Raw genomic sequence first — 25,337 nt, forward strand, 5'->3', positions numbered from 1 at the left:
CCCTATCTGCTGAGAAACTTTCTCCTGCTCCCTAGCTGGTCTAGGAAGAGCGCATTTGGAAATATGATAGCAGTAAATAGCAGTAAAAGACTAGGGGTCTTCTAACCCAAGTTTTGGGTCTTGCATTTCCCTTTTTGATGTGATAGTGTCAGGGAATAAACCTCAGAAAACTGCACTGTGACCTCGATTTGGAGTTTCCTGTTAAATGGTAAGATGAATAGTATACCTAGAAGAATGGGAGAAAAAGTTTCAAACAGTATGTCTGGGGTATCCCATTTTTGAAAAAGAAGTTGTAATGAAGATAGGCTTAATGTCTGGAGGGAGAAACATGAGGATGTTATTATCTCTAGAGAGGGTGATTATGCGTGATTTTCCTTGTTTCTTTACAGTTTTTTAAATATATATTTTAGCATTGAACATATATTACTTTTATAATAAAAAAATAAAACTTTTTATCTGGGGAAAAAAACCTTTCCATTATTTCTGAGCCAGACTAATTTACTCATTCACTTTTAGTGAGTACCACTTTACTGGATATGAATGAGAAAATCTTTTATATATTTTCCCCCACTATCTGTATTTTAGCATCTCATGCTTTTATAATTCATTCATCTGTTAATACGTGTACACAGCCCAAAATGATTTACTTTGAATACCAACCTAGCCAGGCGCAGTGGCTCATGCCTGTAATCCCAGCACTTTGGGAGGCCAAGGCGGGTGGATCACGAGGTCGGGAGATCGAGACCATCCTGGCTAACATGGTGAAACCCCGTCTCTACTGAAAATACAAAAAATTAGCTGGGTGTGGTGGTGGGCGCCTGTAGTCCCAGCTACTGGGGAGGCTGAGGTGGGAGAATGGCATGAACCCAGGAGGCGGAGCTTGCAGTGAGCCGAGATCACACCACTGTACTCCAGCCTGGGCGGCAGAGCCAGACTCCATCTCAAAAACAAAACGAACAAACAAACAAAAAAACCAACCTATATGAGATCTACTGTTTGCTGCCTTTACAGTTCTCAAAGAATCAATCATTTCTTAAAACACACTGGACATTTTATTCAAAGATGATCCAAAAACACCAAAGATATATTTCTGTGGCAGTTTTGGCAATAGAGTATACATTTCTTTAGGAATTACTTGTCATTGCAATGTGGATTACAGCCTAACTTTTGCAGCCAAGTTAGGAGAAATTAGTGCTGTTTTCCCTTTGTTCCCTAATGAGATCATGGCAATTCTTGAAGGCAGGGTTTTCTTTTACTAAAACCACCCTTTTTCCCCAATCTAACTCAGCCTCACACAGTGACATGGAGATTGATAAATGTTTGTCATTCGGTTAGGTGGGACTTGAAAAGAAAATGAGGGCAGGATCACCTTGCTATTTTTCTGTTAGAGTTTGCATAATATTCTGTGAAGATTTGTGGGAGTAACAGCAAGAAAATCGTTGTGGAAAATGAGAGGCAAGTCCAAGGTTAATGAATTACAGGGAAATCTCTTAAAGATGTAACAATAATCATATTAATGACTGTCATTTCTCTTCTGGTTACTATGTACCGAGCTAAGCTAAGTACTTTTTATCATTGTCTCATTTAGCCATTATCCTAAGAAGAAGGTACAATAATCCCATTTTACAGGTGAGGAAACCCAAAACTGGGAGAGGTTAAATAACTTGTCAAAGTCATGCATCTTCCAGGATGCACACCTGGAGGTTGAACTCAGGTATGTGAAGTTTGCATTTTGCTTTCTGCCCAATGCCTGCCTCCACTTGCATTCATTCTCCACTGGCCCTCCGTATCCACAGATTCCCGCAACCAACTGTATTTGTCTGTTTTCACACTGCTATGAAGATACTACGTGAGACTGGGTAATTTATAAACGAGAGGTTTAATTAACTCACAGTTCCGCATGGCTGGGGAGGCTTCAGGAAATTTATGGTCGTGGCAAAAGGTGAAGGGGAAGCAGGCACCTTCTTCACAAGGCAGCAGGAGAGAGAGGGCACAGGGGAAACTGCTACTTTTAAAACCATCAGATCTGGGGAGAATTCCCTCACTATCAGGACAACAGCACAGGGGAAACCACCCCCATGATCCAGTCACCTACCAGGTCCCTACCTTGACACGTGGGGATTACAATTTGAGATGAGATTTGGGTGGGGACATAACCAAACCATATCATCCTGCCCCAGCCCCTCCCAAATCTCATGTCCTTTTCACATTTAAAAACCAATCATACCTTCTCAACAGTCCCCCAAAGTCTTAACTCATTCCAGCATTAACTCAAAAGTCCAAGTCCGAAGTCTCATCTAAGACAAGCCAAGTCCCTTCCACCTATGAGCCTGTAAAATAAAATTAGTTACTTCTAAGATACCATGAGGGTACAGGCATTGGGCAAATGTTTCCAGTCCAAATGGGAGAAATTGACCAAAATAAAGGGGCTACAGGCCTCATGCAGGTCTGAAAACCCGGCAGAGCAGTCGTTAAATCTTAAAGCTCTGAAATCATCTCCTTTGATTCCACGTCTCACATGTAGGCCACCCCAGGGCATGCTGATGCAAGAGGTGGGCTCCAACAATCTTGGTCTTGGGCAGCTGCCCCTGCGTTCCTGTGGCTCAGCAAGGTACAGCCCCTGTGTCCACTTTCATGGGCTGGTGTTGAATGCCTGCAGCATTTCTAGGCACTTGGTGCAAGCTGTCAGTGTATCTACCTTTCTGGGGTCTGGAGGATGGGTGCCCCCTTCTCACAGCTCCACTAGGCAATGCCCCAGTGGGGACCCTGTGCAGGGGCTACAACTCCACATTTTCCTTCCACACTGCCATAGCAGAAGTTCTCCTTGAGGGCTCCTTTTAGCCGTGGCTGGTGCTGGATCCACTGGGATGCATGGAACCAAGTCCCGAGGTTGCACAGAGCAGTTGGGCCCTGGGTCTGGCCCAGGAAACCATTTTTCTCTCCAAGACCTCTGGGCCTGTGATAGGAGGGGCTGCCAAGAAGGTCTTTGACATGCCCTAGAGACATTTTCCCCATTGTCTTGACTATTAACATTCGGCTCCTTGTTACTTATGCAAATTTCTTCAGCCAGCTTGAATTCCTCCTCAGAAAGTTGGTTTTTCTTTTCTACCACATGGTCAGGCTGCACATTTTCCAAACCATTATGCTCTCCTTCTCTTAAATATAAGGTTCAGTTGGGCATCTTCTATATATCATGCACCCATATAGGACCTGAATGTAGGGATGTATATAACAGGATTCCTGCACTGAAGGAATTCACAATTAAGCTTATGAGGGGTTAGGGAGGATAAGCAGAAACTTTTATAGCTAACTGTGATAGGGTGTGAGGAGTAGCTTAGAAGAGAATGGATAGGTGAGCTTTCAGCAGAGGAAACAGCATGAGCAAAGATCCAGAAACAAAAGTTTATGAAACAAAGGTGAGGCATGGAAAGTGGGTTGGGGCTAGATAGTAAAGGGCCTTGAAAGCTTTCAGAGAACTTTGGCAATGGGGAGCAATAGAAGGTTTGAAAACAAGGACATCTTATCAGAATTGTGCGTTAGGAGAACAACAAAGACAGAGTGAAGGGCTAGAAGGAGAAAGCCTAGAGGCAGTTAGGAAGCTCTAATAAGCCTAGAAAGGTTAGCAAGAATGGGGATGAGAGGTGACTTGAGGGGCGTTTGGGATTCAAGTTGATTTGACAAATAGTAATTGTGTACCAATTTTGTGCTGGACCCTGTGCTAGGCTCTGTGTTAGAGATACTGCAGAGAATCACTTATAGCTTCTGCCCAAGATCTAGTGGTGACACAACCACTATTGCTAAGAGGAAATGCAATTCAGAGGTGGTTCTGAGGTTCCTGCATGGAGATGTGTGGATAGTAGCACTTCATTTCTGAGTTTATGGAACATGGATGTGGGAGCAGAGTTGAGAGGGGGAAAGATAATGAGCTTAGTTTTGAATATGGTTTATCTGTAGACTTTCTAATGGCTCCTTGGCAGGGTATTAATTATATTAGTCTGGAGCTCCGAGGAGAAGTTGAGGCAGGAGTGATTATTCTTTTTCTTCTGCTAAACACATTATAAATGGTTTATGAGATAACTTTTTTGTTTTTTATTTTTAAATTTTATTTATCCTTTATTTATAACATATGTATGTATGTTGGAGTCTCGCTGTGTCGCCCAGGCTGGAGTGCAGTGGTGCGATCATAGCTCACTGCAGCCTCAAACTCATGGTTGCAAGTGATGCTCTCACCTTGGCCTCCTGGGTCGCTGGGATGATAAGCATGAGCTACCATGCCTGGCTGTGAGATAACTTTAAAGCATTCTAGCTTTCTATTGTAGATTCTAGCTTTCTGTTATAGAAAACCGTATTGTGGAAAAGATTTCCAGTTGCCTACCTGTTTTAAGATGTACCTGGGACTTGCCTTAATCATGTATGGTAGGAGACAACTGCTTTAATCATGTCACGGAGACAGCTGCTTTAATCATGTCACACAGACAACTGCTTTGAAAGAAGAGTCTTTTATTTCACAGTTCCCAATAGGAGGTTGCATGCTATGCCATGCAAGGCCACTCAGGGATGCACTGGAGTTGGTCAGGAGGAAGAAGGAGGGGGGAAAACATAAGCCAGAGGCTTTGTTGTGTTTTTCATAGGGAAGCAATGAGTAAGGCACCAGTGGAAAGCTAAGCAAGGTTAGGATTGGGTAGTTTGAATAATTTCAGCAGGCTGCAGGTTCTCAAGATGGTCCCTAGTTATCAGGTGCCTGGCCCTGGGGTGATTGAAGGCAAGGTCATAGTGTCCTGGGCTCGTTTTCTACCTAAGCAAAGGAGGTAGATGGGAGGGGCAGTGTGGATTCAGGATTGGCTGGTTTGCTTATCAAAGGAGTTTTCTCAGGCAAGTTGGCTAACTCCAGGAATTAGCTAACCTTGGGAGGGCATGCCCTCTCTGGGTCTGCAAGGCCCAAAAGTGTCAAAGCATAAAATACAGAAAATAAACATGATTAATGCACTACCCAGTATCTATTGTCCCTTCTGTATTTATAGAACCCAGATGTGACAGGGTGCACAGCACATGTACTGCATTCCTGTTCTTTTCAGTTAGGGGTTGCCAAGGGGCTATAGGCAGAAGTCACTTGGTGATGCTCTCAGGGAACTTTCTATATGAGTTACTCTTGGGAGGCGTATCCTGTGTGCTTCCCCAGACTCTCGTCCTACAGCATTTTCTTTTTTGTCTGAAATGTGGACATTTCATGGCTGGATTTCCAGTTGCCATCTTGGACCATGAGGCAGTCTTCAGAATGGAAGGTAGAAGAAGCTGGGATCTGCAATCACTATGCAACCACCATACCAGCCTGGACAGTTTGCCTCTGGACTGCTTTGGGAGACAAAAATATACCTCTCCTCTAAGCCATTTACTTGTGTTGTGTACTTAAACCTAATTCTTTCTTATTCATATATTGTTGACTTTATCTCCGTATACATGAGCAACTCTTTACTCTTATCTTTCTCTTACATGACCTTTCACGGCAAGTAGAAGTAAAATCTTTTCTTTATTCCCACAATCCTTTAGGTTTTAAACTAATGTCTCATTAAATTTAGGGAAGGGAGTAGGACATAAAAAGTATACAAACCTTAGCAATTAGCTTTAAAAAGAGTCAACATAAGCATACTTTAATACAAACTACGTACTGCTTAATTCTGCATATAGTCCTGAATGAAGATCCTTAATTAATAGCCGCTTGTTAAATAGAGGAGCTCTTAGGTTAAGAACAGAAGTATTGTTCTTATGCCTCCCTGGACAGTATTATAGCAGACTAGCAATCCAGAGTGGGTCTGAGACTTCCCACTGCAAGTCCAAGTTCGGGATGTAAGCTTGGCCACTTTCTGGTGAGGCTTCTCTTGCTAGCTTATAGCTTACAGCCATCTCTCTGCATGTAAGCCAGGCTCCAAGGGGCATGCCTTTTAATTCTAATCCATGATCAATGGCACTGAACTTTTACAATTTTATGCACTTAAACCTCACTCCAGGTGGATAGTGGCTCCTAGTGGAATTCCTTTTCTGTATCTCTGAGTCCTCCCTCCTGAGGAATGAGACTTTTTACTCTTCTGAGTAATTCTGAGCCGCCTCCATTTGGTGCCGCTCATCTTTCTGTTTTGGGTAACTCAGAGCCCTACACCCTTTGAAACTGAGTCCAAGTCCTCCATCATCTTTGTGACCTAGATCTCTTCCTTCTCTATGTGACACTGGACACTACTCATTTGCATTTTAGCAAAGAGCTGCAAAGTTTAGGTTCATTGATGGAATATGACAATCCATATCATCTGTGAAGAGGACAGACTAACCTGAAAGAGCCAGAGAGGATTTCCTAAATTGTGCTCTACGACAGACTAAATTGGGCAGAGACAAGAGACAGGTACAGTGAAGCAACAGGTAGAGGAGTAGATTAACGAGAAAAATATCACATCAGTGAGGAGATTCTATGTATCAACAGAAAGAACAAAGATCAGGGCTGCCTAATTGCTGACATGATGGGACTCACCGAGGGGGTGTTCCTGATTCTGTCTGGCACTCAGTTCACACTGGGAATTCTGGTCAATTGTTTCATTGAGTTGGTCAATGGTAGCAGCTGGTTCAAGACCAAGAGAATGTCTTTGTCTGACTTCATCATCACCACCCTGGCACTCTTGAGGATCATTCTGCTGTGTATTATCTTGACTGATAGTTTTTTAATAGAATTCTCTCCCAACACACATGATTCAGGGATAATAATGCAAATTATTGATGTTTCCTGGACATTTACAAACCATCTGAGCATTTGGCTTGCCACCTGTCTTGGTGTCCTCTACTGCCTGAAAATCGCCAGTTTCTCTCACCCCACATTCCTCTGGCTCAAGTGGAGAGTTTCTAGGGTGATGGTATGGATGCTGTTGGGTGCACTGCTCTTATCCTGTGGTAGTACCGCATCTCTGATCAATGAGTTTAAGCTCTATTCTGTCTTTAGGGGAATTGAGGCCACCAGGAATGTGACTGAACACTTCAGAAAGAAGAGGAGTGAGTATTATCTGATCCATGTTCTTGGGACTCTGTGGTACCTGCCTCCCTTAATTGTGTCCCTGGCCTCCTACTCTTTGCTCATCTTCTCCCTGGGGAGGCACACACGGCAGATGCTGCAAAATGGGACAAGCTCCAGAGATCCAACCACTGAGGCCCACAAGAGGGCCATCAGAATCATCCTTTCCTTCTTCTTTCTCTTCTTACTTTACTTTCTTGCTTTCTTAATTGCATCATTTGGTAATTTCCTACCAAAAACCAAGATGGCTAAGATGATTGGCGAAGTAATGACAATGTTTTATCCTGCTGGCCACTCATTTATTCTCATTCTGGGGAACAGTAAGCTGAAGCAGACATTTGTAGTGATGCTCCGGTGTGAGTCTGGTCATCTGAAGCCTGGATCCAAGGGACCCATTTTCTCTTAGAGTAACAGAGGGCATGGGGTGGAGCCCTTGAGCCTTTTGGCCTGGCTCAAGACTACAGGACTCTTCCTGACCTTCCTATGTTACCAGTTCCATAACATCAGTAGGAGAGAAACACTGACTGCTTTGCCCCTGGTCCCTGGGCACTTGTTCCAAGGTGAAAGCCACGCTTCTCACAGCCTCTCTCTGTATGGTGGTTGCGGAGGTGGGGAGGGTGCAGGAGTAGTAGTCTTGGAAATGACCATGTCGTAAGAACACTCTCACTATAAACATATGGTGCTGTATTTTAATAATCATCAGCTCGACATAATGAGTCTGATTACTAGTTTCAACTTAAATTAGATACTAACAGTGATAAACATAAAATTACATAGTAGACTTGAAGGAAAGAGCAAAAGCTTTGCAGTCCTATAGATGTGGGTTTGAATTCTGATTCTGGCCAAGATTTTTGGCCTCTGGTGAGTTACTTTAATTACCTGTCTGATTCCCTCTTCTGATCCCTACTGGCCATTTTAGCACAGTGTGTTGTGTACAGTACTCAGTAAGTGAAGGCTATTATTGCGCTAATATTGGATTGTGCAGCAACAGCAATTTCCATATGATTCCAGTTCCCACAAACACATTGTGTAATGATGAAAACAGTGGAAAGAAAATCAAGACCTTTAGATTCTAGATTCCAATTCAATCTTGCATTTCATGATCATTTTGCTAAAGTACATTTTCAAGTAATTATTTTGTAGATTGGGCAAAAGACCAAGTAGTTTTGTTTTTATTTTTGACCAAGATGCCTACCTGGTTTTAAAATTACAGTTTTATCAAATGTAATATAAGTGAATTTTGTAAGTTTAATCACTTTTATTTAAATAGAAGTATATAGGCATTGATTTACTTCCTGTTATTTACAATTTTGACATGTCAATGAAAAGATATTGCTTAATATCCTGAAGAATTCTCAAATTTGTAAACATATTCAGTTAATACACATGGCATTATTCAGAAATGTGTATTTCTAGCCCTAATGGGACTCTCAGAAGTGGACTGTTGTGGCTAAGAATGTAGACCCTGAAATTAGACAATCTGTGTTTAAATCTGGCTTTGGCCCTTTTGAACTGGGTGACCTTGGGGAAACTTCTTAACCAGTCTCTATTTAACTTTCTTCACCTGTAAAATAGAAATAGTAATTTGTGTGTGTGTGTGTGTGTGTGTGTGTGTGTGTGTGTGTGTGTGTGTTGGGATAAAGTTGTTGGAAGGAATGAGTGAATTAACACATGGGAAGTGCTTAGAGTTCTACATGGAACAAACACACAATAAAACTGCTATCGTTGTTGTTATTTTGTGAAAAGGAGCATACTTTGACATAATAAAAAGGAGTATATTTGGACATAGCATGAATGTCCATTACATTACTGGACATTTGGTCATATGTAACCAGAAATTGACATTAGGGTTGTTCTGGGATTTATATGTTAATTCCTAAAATGATGGGAATAAAATTTCCTTTGGTCTGCACAGTTTGCATTATCCCATTGGATTAAACACCTCCACAACCAGCAAGTGAGGGTTCAGGAGAAAAACCATATTACTGATAGATAAAATAAAGAACTGACTTGTTTTCATCACATTTGAGCTTGTAGAGTGAGTAAATTTTGTTAGCCCCACTATCATTAAATTGTCATTGTGACTTGGTGGAGCTTGGCCAACGGTCTGAGCAAGATTTCCAGGTTAACTCTGAAATACATATTTTCAGGAGTTGATGAGTGGAGTTTCTTGGCTATGTTCTGTCTGGTGTCAATTTCCATTTGTGGCCAGACAGTGTATTCATAGCCAGAGAGGAAAGATTTCTGAATTGTCCTTGGCTTTTCAGGCTTCTCCCCTTATTGCCCAGCTAGCAGATCCCCTTGAGAAAGGGATGAGTTCTGCCTAGCTTCTGGATGTTGCTGTAATATTCCAGGAATGAATACATGGTTCACTTCATTTTGATTCTGGCCAACCTTGATTCCAGTTCATTCCTTCCTGCCACAAACATTTATTTAACACTTATTGTGCACCAAGCACTGTACGAGACCAAGCACTGCACGAGACGCTTGTTCCTTGAACACTGTTCTGTTCTCAAAAACATTACTTAGTGCGTAATATAGACACAGAAACAAGTATTTAATTGCTGCATCACTGAAACACGTGCTTCAGGTACAATAAAGGGATCATCCGATCTTGAGGGTCCTGATGCAGGTGATCTTTGTGTCTAGACCCCTTTTGTGGCAGCCTTGAAAATGTGCGCTCGGATCTCTGCTGTGGAGGCACAATTGGCTGATGGCTCCAGCTTTGGAGATCCACTACCTTGAGGCCACATCTCCTGCAGGCTTCTCCCAGCCAGTGGTGGAGCACTGTGGAGTACTAAGGCAGGTCTGTTTTGCTGAGACATGCGACTCCTCTAACAGGCAATTTTGGCCAAGGACTCTGCATCAGCTTGGTCGAAGTTTTCTTGGACCTCTACTGCACTTTAGAACTCTCTCTACCCAATTATTCCATACCCCCCTTTACCTCTCCCCCCCTTTTATAGCTGTCAGACCTACATTGCTCTCTGAATACTCTGCTCACTTCTTCTGGCTCCCACCCACCTAACATCTCTTGCACATCTAATCTTTTTTAAGCCTCTGCCTCTTGGCAGACCTCTCATATAAGTAATCTCTGTATTAAAAAGCTAGTGCAGATGATAAAGATACTCACTAAAAGACATATAAGTGTATGTGCATATGTGTGTGTGTGTGTGTTCTAAGTGCACCAGAATTCTAGAAATCATTCCAGATTCTGCCTTCTTCTACAGCCTCAATATCCATTTAGTTGCCAGATCCCTTTGGTTGTACTTCAAAACATTTCCCTCAAATGTTCCCTGGTCTCCATCTCCACTCTTTTCAGCCCATCAGAGTGATTACAACAGGATTCTAACTAGTTTCCTGCTTCCAGCTCCATCCCCTTCCAGCAAAGCCTTTCCTTATTACTTGGATTGTGTTCTTCATACAGTGAAAATATGAAAGTAATGCTACCCTCTTGAAAGTCTTGCAATGGCTCTCCATTGCTTTGGGTAAAGTCCAAACTACTTAGTTTACAGCATAAAGTCAGTCTTCATTTGGTCTCTGTTTTCTTCTTTTTAGTTTCATCTTCTCGTTCCTTGCTTTTCCAAAAGAACTTTGAACTATTTCTAGTTCCCAAATATGCCATACTCTTCTTGCTACTATGCTTTTCCATGTGCTGCTTTCTATGCCTAGAATTATCTTTCTTATCAGCTGTGTCAACTTCTCTTATTCTTCAACACCTTCCTCCTCTGGGAAACTTTCTCTGACTCTTTCAGGTGACGCTAAGCACTTATTCTTTGTGTTTTTCTAATGTTGTACATGCCTCTGATCACATTAGTATAATAATTATGCCCAAATTCTGTACCTACTATGGCATAGATACTTCGTGATTTATCTTTCCAGTTTCATCTCCCACTACTTCTCTTCCTGTCCTTGTACCCCTCCCCTCCTCTGTTTTCTGAACCCACCACACACTGTCACCTCTTAGTCTGCATGTAGAGTTCTCTGCTTCCAATATCCTTCTTTCTCCCTACCTTAGCTTTTTTTTGGATAATCTCTTTGCATCCTTTAAGACTTAATTTATATGTCTTCTCAGTTCCTGAACTGCCAAAACTGGATCAAGTGCGCCTCCTGAACACTCCTATTGCGCTCCTTGTGTTTCCTTATTATGGCGTCTAAAACTCTCAACTCTAATAGTCTATTCATCTGTCTTTTTTACCATGTTGTATATTCTTTGAAGGGAGGATGTGCTGTGGGTGATTCTTCTCTATTTCCCTAGCACCTAACAGTGTCTGGCTGATGATAACAGTTTATAGAATGAAAGAACCAGTGAGGGGAAGTCTAGTGTAGTAGAAAGAGCTCAGTCTCAGACCTTTCAGCTTAGCCACTTCTTTGCTGCTGTGGTTTGGATGTCCCTTCCAAAACTCATGACAGAATGTAATTGTGTCCTTGTAACAGTGTTGAGAGGTAGGGCCTTTAAGAGGTGATTCGGTCATGAGGGCTTTGCCCTCATGAATGGATTAATGCAGGAGTGGGTTTGTTATTGCGGGAGTTTGGCCCCCTTTTCCTGTCTTGTTCTCATGTACACATTCTTGCCCTCTGCCATGTTATGAAGTACTAAGTAGGCCCTCATTAGATGCTGAGTTGATGCCAGCACCATGCTCTTGGACTTCCCAGCTTTCAGAACTGTGAGCCAACTAGACTTCTTTTCTTTATAAATTACCCAATATGTGGTATTCTGTTATAGCAGCAGAAAATGGGCTAAGGCATTTGCTCTGGTATTAGGCAGTCACTTATTTTCCCTGATCTTCATTTTCCTCACTCATAAATAGGGATAACCATATACTCCTCCTAGGATGCCTGATGCACTGCTGGGAACATAGCAAGCATTTAAAAAACCACAAGTAATGGAAGTTTTCTTCTTTCTCTTAAGTGCCATCTATACTTTTTTGAAAAAAATTTTTTTTTTCTTATTTTAAATTTAATCACCTTCCATCTGGAAACTGAGAAGGAGATGTTTAGCTACTATTTCATATAAATTAATATTGACAGAAGACTGAATTTCTTTGAAGATAATTTAAAAAAATAAAAGTAACAAATCTGAAAATGTTTACATTACTTTCTTAAAACTTCTGAAATATTAGCTAATAAAAGAATCTTCATGCCAATTTTGATTTTAGATTATCAATAACTTTTAACGTAGGGTCTCCTTAAAAAGTCTCATTTATAGAAATCATTGCTACAAAAAGCTTAAGGTAGGGTGTATGTTTTTTTGCCCCAACTTTTTTTTTTATTATACTTTAAGTTTTAGGGTACATGTGCACAACGTGCAGGTTTGTTACATATGTATACATGTGCCATGTTGGTGTGCTGCACCCATTAACTCATCATTTAACATTAGGTATATCTCCTAATGCTATCTCTCCCCCCTGCCCCCAACCCACAACAGGCCCCAGTGTGTGATGTTCCCCTTCCTGTGTTCATGGGTTCTCGTTGTTGAATTCCCACCTATGAGTGAGAACATGCGGTGTTTGGTTTTTTGTCCTTGTGATAGTCTGCTGAGAATGATGGTTTCCAGCTTCATCCATGTCCCTACAAAGGACATGCATTCATCATTTTTTATGGCTGCATAGTATTCCATGGTGTATATGTGCCACATTTTCTTAATTGAGCCTATCATTGTTGGACATTTGGCTTGGTTCCAAGTCTTTGCTATTGTGAATAGTGCCGCAATAAACATATGTGTGCATGTGTCTTTATAGCAGCATGATTTATAATCCTTTGGATATGTACCCAGTGATGGGATGGCTGGGTCAAATGGTATTTCTAGTTCTACATCCCTGAGGAATTGCCACACTGTCTTCCACAATGGTTGAACTGGTTTACAGTCCCACCAACAGTGTAAAAGTGTTCCTATTTCTCCACATCCTCTCCAGCACCTGTTGTTTCCTGACTTTTTAATGATCGCCATTCTAAATGGTGTGAGATGGTATCTCATTGTGGTTTTGATTTGCATTTCTCTGATGGCCAGTGATGATGAGCATTTTTTCATGTGTCTTTTGGCTGCATAAATGTCTTCTTTTGAGAAGTGTCTGTTCATATCCTTCGCCCACTTGTTGATGTGGTTGTTTTTTTCTTGTAAATTTGTTTGAGTTCATTGTAGATTCTGGATATTAGCCCTTTGTCAGATGAGTCGATTGCAAAACTTTTCTCCCATTCTGTATGTTGCCTGTTCACTCTGATGGTAGTTTCTTTTGCTGTGCAGAAGCTCTTTAGTTTAATTAGATCCCATTTGTCAATTTTGGCTTTTGTTGCCATTGCTTTTGGTGTTTTAGACATGAAGTCCTTGCCCGTGCTTATGTCCTGAATGGTATTGCCTAGGTTTTCTTCTAGGGTTTTTATGGTTTTAGATCTAACATTTAAGTCTTTAATCCATCTTGAATTAATTTTTGTATAAGGTGTAAGGAAGGGATCCAGTTTCAGCTTTCTACATATGGCTAGCCAGTTTTCCCAGCACCATTTATTCAATAGGGAATCCTTTCTCCATTTCTTGTTTTTGTCAGGTTTGTCAAAGATCAGATGGTTGCAGATATGCAGTATTATTTCTGAGGGCTCTGTTCTGTTCCATTGGTCTATATCTCTGTTTTGGTACCAGTACCATGCTGTTTTTGTTACTGTAGCCTTGTAGTATAGTTTGAAGTCAGGTAGCGTGATGCCTCTGGCTTTGTTCTTTTGGCTTAGGATTGACTTGGCAATGCGGGCTCTTTTTTGGTTCCATATGAACTTTAAAGTAGTTTTTTCCAATTCTGTGAAGAAAGTCATTGGTAGCTTGATGGGGATGGCATTGAATCTATAAATTACCTTGGGTAGTATGGCCATTTTCACCATATTGATACTTCCTATCCATGAGCATGGAATGTTCTTCCATTTGTTATTTCATTGAGCAGTGGTTTGTAGTTCTCCTTGAAGAGGTCCTTCATGTCCTTTGTAAGTTGGATTCCTAGGTATTTTATCCTCTTTGAAGCAATTGTGAATGGGAGTTCACTCATGATTTGGCTCTCTGTCTGTTATTGGTATATAAGAATGCTTGTGATTTTTGCACATTGATTTTGTATGCTGAGACTTGGCTGAAGTTGCCTATCAGCTTAAGGAGATTTTGGGCTTAGACGATGGGGTTTTCTAGATATACAATCATGTCATCTGCAAACAGGGACAATTTGACTTCCTCTTTTCCTAATTGAATACCCTTTATTTCCTTCTCCTGCCTGATTGCCCTGGCCAGAACTTCCAACACTATGTTGAATAGGAGTGGTGAGAGAGGGCATCCCTGTCTTGTGCCACTTTTCAAAGGGAAATGCTTCCAGTTTTTGCCCATTCAGTATGATATGAGCTGTGGGTTTGTCATAGATAGCTCTTATTACTTTGAGATACGTCCCATCAATACCTAATTTATTGAGCGTTTTTAGCTTGAAGCGTTGTTGAATTTTGTCAAAGGCCTTTTCTGCATCTATTGAGATAATCATGTGGTTTTTGTCATTGGTTCTGTTTATATGCTGGATTACGTTTATTGACTTTCATATGTCGAACCAGCCTTGCATCCCAGGGATGAAGCCTGCTTGATCATGGTGGATAAGCTTTTTGATGTGCTGCTGGATTCAGTTTGCCAGTATTTAATTGAGGATTTTTGCATCAATGTTCATCAAGGATATTTGTCTAAAATTCTCTTTTTTGGTTGTGTCTCTGCCCAGCTTTGGTATCAGAATGATGCTGGCCTCATAAAATGAGTTAGGGAGGATTCCCTCTTTTTCTATTGATTGGAATAGTTTCAGAAGGAATGGTACCAGCTCCTCCTTGTACCTCTGGTAGAATTCGGCTGTGAATCCATCTGGTCCTGGACTTTTTTTGGTTGGTAAGCTATTAATTATTGCCTCAATTTCAGAGCCTGTTATTGGTCTATTCAGAGATTCAACTTCTTCCTGGTTTAGTCTTGGGAGGGTGTATGTGTCAAGGAATTTATCCATTTCTTCTAGATTTTCTAGTTTATTTGCGTAGAGGTGTTTATAGTATTCTCTGATGGTAGTTTGTATTTCTGTGGGATTGGTGGTGATATCCCCTTTATCATTTTTTATTGTGTCTATTTGATTCTTCTCTCTTTTCTTCTTTATTAGTCTTGCTAGCAGTCTATCAATTTTGTTGATCTTTTCAAAAAACCAGCTCCTGGATTCATTGATTTTTTGAAGGGTTTTTTTGTGTCTATTTCCTTCAGTTCTGCTCTGATCTTAGTTATTTCTTGCCTTCTGCTAGCTTTTGAATGTGTTTGCTCTTGCTTCTCTAGTTCTTTTAATGTGATGTTAGGGTGTTAATTTTAGATCTTTCCTGCTTTCTCCTGTGGGCATTTAGTGCTATAAATTTCCCTCTACACACTGCTTTGAATGTGTCCCAGAGATTCTGGTATGTTGTGTCTTTGTTCTCGTTGGTTTCAAAGAACATCTTTATTTCTGCCATCATTTCGTTATGTACCCAGTAGTCATTCAGGAGCAGGTTGTTCAGTTTCCATGTAGTTGAGTGGTTTTGGGTGAGTTTCTTAATCCTGAGTTCTAGTTTGATTGCACTGTGGTCTGGGAGACAGTTTCTTATAATTTCTTTTCTTCTGCATTTGCTGAGGAGTGCTTTACTTCCAACTATATGGTCAATTTTGGAATAGGTGTGGTGTGGTGCTGAAAAGAGTGTATATTCTGTTGATTTGGGGTGGAGAGTTCTGTAGATGTCTATTAGGTCTGCTTGGTGCAGAGCTGAGTTCAATTCCTGGATATCCTTGTTAACTTTCTGTCTCGTTGATCTGTCTAATGTTGACAGTGGGGTGTTAAAGTCTCCCATTATTATTGTATGGGAGTCTCAGTCTCTTTGTAGGTCTCTGAGGACTTGCCTTATGAATCTGGGTGCTCCTGTATTGGGTGCATATATATTTAGGATAGTTAGCTCTTCTTGTTGAATTGATCCCTTTACCATTATGTAATGGCCTTCTTTGTCTGTTTTGATCTTTGTTGGTTTAAAGTCCATTTTATCAGAGACTAGGATTGCAACCCCTGCCTTTTTTGTTTTCCATTTGCTTGGCAGATCTTCCTCCATCCCTTTATTTTGAGCCTATGTGTGTCTCTGCACATGAGATGGGTTTCCTGAATACAGCACACTGATGGGTCTTGACTCTTTATCCAGTTTGCCAGTCTGTGTGTTTTAATTGGAGCATTTAGCCCATTTACATTTAAGGTTAATATTGTTATGTGTGAATTTGATCCTGTCATTATGATGTTAGCTGGTTATTTTGCTCGTTAGTTGATGCAGTTGCTTCCTAGCCTTCATGGTCTTTACAATTTGGCATGGTTTTGCAGTGGCTGGTACTGGTTGTTCCTTTCCATGTTTAGTGCTTCCTTTAGGAGCTCTTTTAGCGCAGGCCTGGTGGTGACAAAATCTCTCAGCAATTGCTTGTCTGTAAAGGATTTTATTTCTCCTTCACCTATGAAGCTTAGTTTGGCTGGATATGAAATTCTGGGTTGAAAATTCTTTTCTTTAAGAATGTTGAATATTGGCCCCCACTCTCTTCTGGCTTGTAGAGTTTCTGCCGAGAGATCAGCTGTTAGTCTGATGGGCTTCCATTTGTGGGTAACCTGACCTTTCTCTCTGGCTGCCCTTAACATTTTTTCCTTCATTTCAACTTTGGTGAATCTGACAATTATGTGTCTTGGAGTTGCTCTTCTCGAGGAGTATCTTTGTGGCGTTCTCTGTATTTCCTGAATGTGAATGTTGGCCTGCCTTGCTAGATTGGGGAAGTTCTCCTGGAGAATATCCTGCAGAGTGTTTTCCAACTTGGTTCCATTCTCCCTGTCACTTTCAGGTACACCAATCAGACATAGATTTGGTCTTTTCACATAGTCCCATATTTCTTGGAGGCTTTGTTTGTTTCTTTTTATTCTTTTTTCTCTAAACTTCTCTTCTCGCTTCATTTCATTCATTTGATCTTCCATCACTGATACCCTTTCTTCCAGTTGATCGAATCGGCTACTGAGGCTTGTGCATTTGTCACGTAGTTCTTGTGCCTTGGTTTTCAGCTCCATCAGGTCCTTTAAGGACTTCTCTGCATTGGTTATTCTAGTTAGCCATTCGTCTAATTTTTGTTCAAGGTTTTTAACTTCTTTGCCATGGGTTCGAACTTCCTCCTTTAGCTCGGAGTAGTTTGATCATCTGAAGGCTTCTTCTCTCAACTCGTCAAAGTCATTCTCCGTCCAGCTTTGTTCCATTGCTGGTGAGGTGCTGCATTCCTTTGGAGGAGGAGAGGCACTCTGAGTTTTAGAGTTTCCAGTTTTTCTGCTCTGTTTCTTCACCATCTTTGTGGTTTTATCTACCTTTGGTCTTTGATGATGGTGACGTACAGATGGGGTTTTGGTGTGGATGTCCTTTCTGTTTGTCAGTTTTCCTTCTAACAGTCAGGACCCTCAGCTACAGGTCTGTTGGAGTTTGCTGGAGGTCCACTCCAGACCCTGTTTGCCTGGATATCAGCATCAGAGGCTGCTGAACAGTGGATATTGGTGAACAGCAAATGTTGCTGCCTGATCATTCCTCTGGAAGTTTTGTCTCAGAGGAGTACCCAGCCGTGTGAGGTGTCAGTCTGCCCCTACTGGGGGGTGCCTCCTAATTAGGCTACTCAGGGGTCAGGGACCCACTTGAAGAGGCAGTCTGTCCGTTCTCAGATCTCCAGCTGCATGCTGGGAGAACCACTACTCTCTTCAAAGCTGTCAGACAGGGACATTTAAGTCTGCAGAGGTTTCTGCTGCCTTTTGTTTGGCTATGCCCTGCCCCTAGAGGTGGAGTCTACAGAGGCAGGCAGGCCTCCTTGAGCTGCAGTGGGCTCCACCCAGTTCTAGCTTCCCAGCCACTTTGTTTACCTACCCAAGCCTCGGCAATGGTGGGTGACCCTCCCCCAGCCTCACTGCTGCCTTGCAGTTTGATCTCAGACTGCTGTGCTAGCAATGAGTGAGGCTCTGTGGGCAAAGGACCCTCCGAGCCAGGCGCGGGATATAATCTCCTGGTGTGCCGTTTGCTAAGACTGTTGGAAAAGCACAGTATTGGAGTGGGAGTGACCTGATATTCCAGGTGCCGTCTGTCACCCCTTTCTTTGACTAGGAAAGGGGATCCCCTGACCCCTTGCACTTCCCGGGTGAGGCGATGCCTCGCCCTGCTTCGGCTCACATTCGGTGCGCTGCACCCACTGTCCTGCACCCACTGTCTGACACTCCCCAGTGAGATGAACCTGGTACCTCAGTTGGAAATGCAGAAATCACCCGTCTTCTGCGTCACTCATGCTGGGAGCTGTAGACTGGAGCTGTTCCTATTCGGCCATGTTGGCTCCACCTGAAAAAATTTCAAACTTCTAAATTCCTGTTTCTTCATGACTGACCTCATTCTTCAGAGCCATCATCAAATAAGTTAAGTGCCATTCATTTGCTTTGACTATTTGCCCTAAAGCCTTTCTTACAGACCTGTCAAGAAGCAGAGTTTGGATCCATGACTGCAGTGCCTGCTGGTTGGTCTTCTTGGGCTCTAGTAAATAATCAAACTTATAAGACTATCTTAGGCTACTGTGGTACCAGCCTACTCAGATGGATATAGTTGAGGGACCCGATTTACCAGCAGGGCAGTGTCAGGCCTTCCTCTTTTGCAGAGTTTTTGGTGCAGGCCATACAGTTCAGGTACAGTAATAAGAGACCCACAGTAGGGTAAGGGTGGGAGCTGCTGCAAATTAAAAGCTTCGTGTCCCAAAAGATCCAATTTATTTTGTGGTAATTTTGTAGACAAAGCTTCTAGGGTTGAGTCAAGGTACAGGTACATGGGAAGGAAGCCCAATGCATGTAGACTCCATAAGATACTTATTACAGTTCACTTATAGTTCCTTCCAGTCAAGATGCAATTTTCCAATCAAGAGTCTTTTTTTTTTTTGTTCTAGAAACATAGTTGATGTTCTTACCCTTATCATATAAGGATAAGATTATCCTTATCATCCTTATCATCATGATAAGGAAAACAGCTAGGAAGTTTAACCATAGGTCAAATTCTCATGCATAGGGAGAAAGGGTTCTGCTAACACTTTTCCTATACTGACCCTTGTGGAAATAACTTCTAACTGAATGAGCTCATTCATTGATTGTGCTAGCCAACCTTATCACATCTTAATTATAGCACTTCCTCCTACAGAGAACCCAACAATTTGGTATAGTACATTCTAGATAGAGTTTGTTACTATCTAATTCTGGGATTCCTGCTCTTTTGGCCACATTTATCTGTTATGGCTTACTCTATATCATTTATTCTATTTAAATGTGATGTTAGTAATATTTCAACTTCACCACTTTAATGCAGCCATCTATGGATAAGTAATTGGAAATCTGTGCTATAATTTTCCTTTTAGTCATAGTCTTCCTGGCTCATTCTGTTTGCCTGCTTACCTGATGTGGGCATGCCTCTATCAGTGCCTGTTAGTTTTGAATAAAAAGCTTCTGTAAGCACCTGGGCACCAGGTCAGAGAATTTCTCCAGGCTAGGCTTCCTGTCATCTGTCTTAAAGGGCCTCATGAATGTATTCCCCTCTTCTGGACCTGATTATTATTAAATCTTAGCTCCTTTTTCTTGTCTGTTTCTATTTGGACTTGGCAGTAGGACTTTGTGCTGTACCTTGATGCTACTTTGGTAACATCTGTGGCTGCATCCAGGATTGCACCTTGGTTTCATTCAGCTGCTAGAGAAGATAAGAGATGCCATACTCTTACATTCACCTATGGGCCTCCATAATATCATTTGCCAGGGATATTTTGCCATTTCCCATCTGAGCAAGTACAGAGAAATCCAGCAATGAGATGCCTAGCTGTTTGGCTCACAAAACTACAACTAATGCATTACTGTGTATCTCATTCCAGGGTACCTGGATTGACAGTTAAATGCCTAAGAGAAAATAGCCACATATGATCTAAACATAAACCCAGATTTATAAAGGAAACACCTACAAGGGCTGACTTAATTTTTTCTAAGGAAAACCAGAACATAGCAAATGGTTATGGCACAAATCTATGTATGTAGATAGAGAAGGCAAAGCAAAGGGCATCAGAAAGAATGGGATTAATTGAGAAAGGTTTTCTCAAGGAGGTATTGGGTCTTTGAACTTGATCTATTAGATCACTGTAAATCGCTATAGGTGAATCACTGAGGTTGAAAGAGTGGCATTGGCATGGCCAATTGGTGAAACTTGTTGTGGCAGCAACAGATTAGAGGGGAGAGAGAAATTGGATTCTGGTCATCCATGAATATGTGGCTAGGAGGTGGGTGGGTAGGAGTGAGGAATTAGGATTTCCACCATATTCTGGCATTTTTATGAAGAAAAACTTTACCGTAAAACATTGACAGAAACATTGCTGGACTCAAGCTCTCTGGTTTGGATTCTAAGTTTTTGGAGCCTGCTGTGACTCTTCCCTCTCGCCCTCCTGCTCTTGGAGGAGTGGACTCCCAGCATCACCTAGGCTTGCTGTAATTAGGCATTTCTAAGGAGAACAGGATACTAATGAAGAAATAGTAATGTAATCCTTGGAAGATTTGCATCTCAGTAAAATCAGGTGGCCCTTGATCATGAATGGCTCATTTGCCATGCTGGGAAAAATTAAAAAGGAGATGTCCTTCCTGGCTGGATACTGGTGTCTGCTTATACATTTTGGTATTTCTTCTGCCTCCACTATCAGCACCACAACTGCTGAATCCTCAATGAGTAAAGATGCTTCGGTTATTCTATTTCTCTGCTATTATTGCCTCAGTTATTTTAAATTTTGTAGGAATCATTATGAATCTGTTTATTACAGTGGTCAATTGCAAAACTTGGGTCAAAAGCCATAGAATCTCCTCTTCTGATAGGATTCTGTTCAGCCTGGGCATCACCAGGTTTCTTATGCTGGGACTATTTCTGGTGAACACCATCTACTTCGTCTCTTCAAATACGGAAAGGTCAGTCTACCTGTCTGCTTTTTTTGTGTTGTGTTTCATGTTTTTGGACTCGAGCAGTGTCTGGTTTGTGACCTTGCTCAATATCTTGTACTGTGTGAAGATTACTAACTTCCAACACTCAGTGTTTCTCCTGCTGAAGCGGAATATCTCCCCAAAGATCCCCAGGCTGCTGCTGGCCTGTGTGCTGATTTCTGCTTTCACCACTTGCCTGTACATCACGCTTAGCCAGGCATCACCTTTTCCTGAACTTGTGACTACGAGAAATAACACATCATTTAATATCAGTGAGGGCATCTTGTCTTTAGTGGTTTCTTTGGTCTTGAGCTCATCTCTCCAGTTCATCATTAATGTGACTTCTGCTTCCTTGCTAATACACTCCTTGAGGAGACATATACAGAAGATGCAGAAAAATGCCACTGGTTTCTGGAATCCCCAGACGGAAGCTCATGTAGGTGCTATGAAGCTGATGGTCTATTTCCTCATCCTCTACATTCCATATTCAGTTGCTACCCTGGTCCAGTATCTCCCCTTTTATGCAGGGATGGATATGGGGACCAAATCCATTTGTCTGATTTTTGCCACCCTTTACTCTCCAGGACATTCTGTTCTCATTATTATCACACATCCTAAACTGAAAACAACAGCAAAGAAGATTCTTTGTTTCAAAAAATAGTGGAATTTCAGTAAACAATACCTAGATTTACCTGATGGTTTGGGGGCAAGATTTTCTGTTTGCAGTTTTCCCAGTGATCTGGGGAATTCAGTTTTGTGATTGCTGATCTGACATCATAGGCTTTTGAGTGCCTGAATTTCAGTTCATTCTGTAATTTTTTTTTTTTGGTATGTAAGTATTTTAAAATAAGGCACATTCTGTAAGAAACTTTTTTGAGGCATTATTTGTCATGTATTTTGCATGGCCATTGAATCCATGTATAATGGAAATCATCACATTGTTTCATTGTCTATTGAAGTATAATGGGAAATTCTTCCAAATTAGAGAACACATTGGGGTGCACGTGATGAGTTAGATATTTGTGGTTTAGCTGAGGAGCCCTGAGTAAGGGCTCAGCAGTGGATAGGTGGTCACTGGGAGCCACTGGACTGACCGAAAGCAGAGGAAGGGGGTTCAGTGCAAAGAGAAAAGGAAAAAAGGAAGGTTTCAGAGAGAAAAGAAGGAAAGAGAAAGGTGAAGAGAAATAGGCGTACACTGGGCCAGGCGCGGTGGCTCATGCTTGTAATCCCAGCTCTTTGGGAGGCCGAGGCAGGTGAATCGTGAGGTCAGGAGATCGAGACCATCCTGGCTAACACGGTGAAACCCTGTCTCTACTAAAAATACAAAAAAATTAGCTGGGCGTGGTGGCGGGCACCTGTAGTCCCAGCTACTCGGGAGGCTGAGGCAGGAGAATGGCTTCAACCCAGGAGGCGGAGCTTGCAGTGAGATGAGATCGCGCCACTGCACTCCAGTCTGGGCGACAGAGCAAGACTCTGTCTCAAAAAAAGAAATAGACGTACACTCTGGGACAAGACAGAAAAAGTATCCTCACACTTGCTGGGTAATAGTAACTGTGCTATTCCTAGCAAGAAACCCTAAGGTTTCTAGGCTTGTTCTGGAAAAGAGGATATTGCCAGAGTTGGTAAGTAGAGGAAAGTGATTAGTATTTAAGAAACTGAATCAAGAATGGTTCCAAAAATCTTAAAATCCAGGGAAACCAGCTTAAGGTCAAAGGCAAGTGCTAGATAATGAAATTAACACCATATGAGTACAAATTTACAAAATACTGTACTTCACCATAGGCTATGGAACTCAGTGGAAAGCCAAAAAAGCACTGGACAGGTGGTGGGAGTGCTTGACTTGTGGTGAATTTATTTCATCTGCTTATACATTTGTACACAGCACAGTTCTTCTCCAGAATGTTGTTTCTGTGGCTGGGACCATTGGACTGTGGCTCCAAAAGAACAACAGTCTGAAGATGGGATGTTGACAAGTTTTGGAATGTCAATTGGGGAATCATAATTTGTATTTATTTAGGTTTTTTTTGGTGTTCATAAAATGCTTATGTAATATTTACATATGTCAAATAAATCTTAAAATTTTATAAATTACATGACTTTTCTCATTCTGGCCACCAGAATCTTGACTGCAATATTCAGTAAAAATTACCCAAGCCAATATTTTGTGCTATGAAACCTGGAGGTATTCATCATGTTAAATCCTAAGAGAGATAAAAGGATTACTGAGAGTGATTAAATGCATACTATGTCTTAAGAACTCTAAATGAGTGGCAGAAACCCTCATTGGTCCCTCAGTATCTGTTCTTTCTCCTCTCTTCCATAGTAATCAAATCATTAGCTGTTCAGAATTTTGGCAGCAAATTCCATTATTGCCATGTATGTGAGCAGAAAAGATGTATATAATTTCTGGGTGGTACTTCGGAGCAGTCCTACCTTCCCTTCTTTAATCTTTTCTTTGTTACTCCCTCCATGAGCTGGAATGCTGACATCATGATTGTCTATCTTGGACAATGCAGATGAGGTGAATGCTTGGGATAGTGAAGTAATTCTCCATCCTAGAGCTGGCTCCATGGTTCTTCACACTGTGGACTTGTAACACCAGCTCTGGACTGCTCAAGCCTGAACTCCAGGACTGTTGATGAGAAATCAGTGTCTCCATTCTTTCAGGTGCTGGAGTTTTGGTCTCTGTTACCTTAGTCAAATAACCTATGCTATACCTTAAATATACACAATAATATATATCTTTATGATGAAATAGTATGTATTTACCATCTTATTAGTCAAAGAACCTTTTTATATGACCTACTAAGTGAAATTGAAATAAAACCTGTACATGTGGTATAATACCATTTTTTTTGGTAAAAATGTGTACATATGAAGAAAAGTCTAAAAGGAAATATATAAAAATGTAAACAGTAATTATTTTAGGTGGGAGGAATCAATAAATTTTTTTGTGTATTTCAAGTTTTCTATAATGAACATTTTTATATAATCAAAAAATATTTTTAAATATATAATGTATATATGGTCTATCTATCTATCTATCTATCTATCTATCTATCTATCTATCTATCCATCCACCAACCCACTCACCTCCCTCCCTCCCTCCCTCCCTCCCTACTTACCTAAAAGACAGAGAGGGAGTTCTGAGGTCAACATCGAGTTTGTCCTCGCTAAGAAAGGTAAGTGAATTGTCTTGCTTTGTCTGGATTCTTTTTATTGTATTGGCAAAGTTCTGCCAATTTGTTTCCTGTTTGTCCTACACTGTCTTCAATTTTCCCCTCTCTGGGTTGGATGTGTTGTCTTTGTGTTAGGACTGTTTTTGCTGTTTGAAGAAAGTCTTCAGTCTTTGCTTAGGCACTTGCCCAAAGTCTCCCTTGGGTACAGTTTTTAAGAATGCTGTATGTTTAGAGTTTTGCTGGTTCTGATATGCTCTGCTAAATACCCACCACTAAGTACTTATTAACCAAGGATTTAAAACAATTTGGATTTTGGTTTGATTTTTTCAAGACACATAACTTAGAGGCTCTCTAATAAAAATAATATCCCGCATACCCCTCCCTTTCCTGCAGTAGGCAGAGCATAGAGGGAGGTTAAAAACTCTTTGTTAAGAAGTCACTTTCTGAAGTGGAGGGCAGGTGTCAGGACAGTGTACAACCTCATGAAACACCCATCGTGGTAACCAGAACTCAGGGTCATTGCCATTTAACTTTTAACTGCTACATGCCCAATACTGTATGAGCTACATTTCCACGTTATTATTTTAGTTGGTCATAACCTCTTTGGTAAGATAGCTATTATTGTCTCCATTATATAGTTGAGAAAATTAAGGCCCAAATAAGCCATATGAATGGTTCATAATAGCAGAACTAGGAAGGAATAGATCCAGAGCTCCCAGTGTAGTCTCTGAAAGTATGAAATTATTGTGGGTGCTTAGTTTCCTTAGCTGAAATGAATGTCATGGTGTCACATAGACTCTGGGCTTTTAGGCCTTGAGATTTATATGAGATATGTTTTTAAGTGAAAAAGTAGTAACATTAAAGAAGAAAAAATTATTAGATTTCTTTTGAATGTTGCTACTTGGGAAGGAATAGGCCAACAGAAATGTAATGAAAAGGTAGATACAATTTCTATAAGAACTAAATGAAATTCTTAAAAATTTCAAGGATTTTAAGAGCTTGTTTATATCACTTAAGTTTCACTTAAACATTTCTAAACATGTCTGGCTTTAGGTTTCCCTGATCATTGCTACCTGCATTCTGTTA

The 25,337-nt window shown here is 41.1% G+C and overlaps 2 protein-coding genes across 2 annotated transcripts; both read left to right on the top strand.

Moving 5' to 3' along the window:
- The first annotated feature begins 6,441 nt into the window (after window positions 1-6,441).
- On the top strand, window positions 6,442-7,542 carry TAS2R3 (taste 2 receptor member 3). The gene has a single exon (NM_016943.2). It carries the CDS (start codon window positions 6,504-6,506, stop codon window positions 7,452-7,454), a length of 951 nt encoding a protein of 316 aa, NP_058639.1. The 5' UTR covers window positions 6,442-6,503; the 3' UTR covers window positions 7,455-7,542.
- Window positions 7,543-19,018: 11,476 nt separating this feature from the next.
- TAS2R4 (taste 2 receptor member 4) lies at window positions 19,019-24,036 on the top strand. Its single transcript, NM_016944.2, has one exon. It carries the CDS (start codon window positions 20,834-20,836, stop codon window positions 21,731-21,733), a length of 900 nt encoding a protein of 299 aa, NP_058640.1. The 5' UTR covers window positions 19,019-20,833; the 3' UTR covers window positions 21,734-24,036.
- The last annotated feature ends 1,301 nt before the right edge of the window (window positions 24,037-25,337 follow it).

This window comes from Homo sapiens, chromosome 7 (assembly GCF_000001405.40).
Source record: "Homo sapiens chromosome 7, GRCh38.p14 Primary Assembly".
In the NCBI taxonomy this organism is placed as follows: Eukaryota; Metazoa; Chordata; class Mammalia; order Primates; family Hominidae; genus Homo; species Homo sapiens.

What these genes read in the sequence shown, in the direction of transcription:
- TAS2R3 (NM_016943.2), top strand. Translation starts at nt 6,504, where the DNA reads ATGATGGGACTCACCGAGGGGGTGTTCCTGATTCTGTCTGGCACTCAG.
- TAS2R4 (NM_016944.2), top strand. Translation starts at nt 20,834, where the DNA reads ATGCTTCGGTTATTCTATTTCTCTGCTATTATTGCCTCAGTTATTTTA.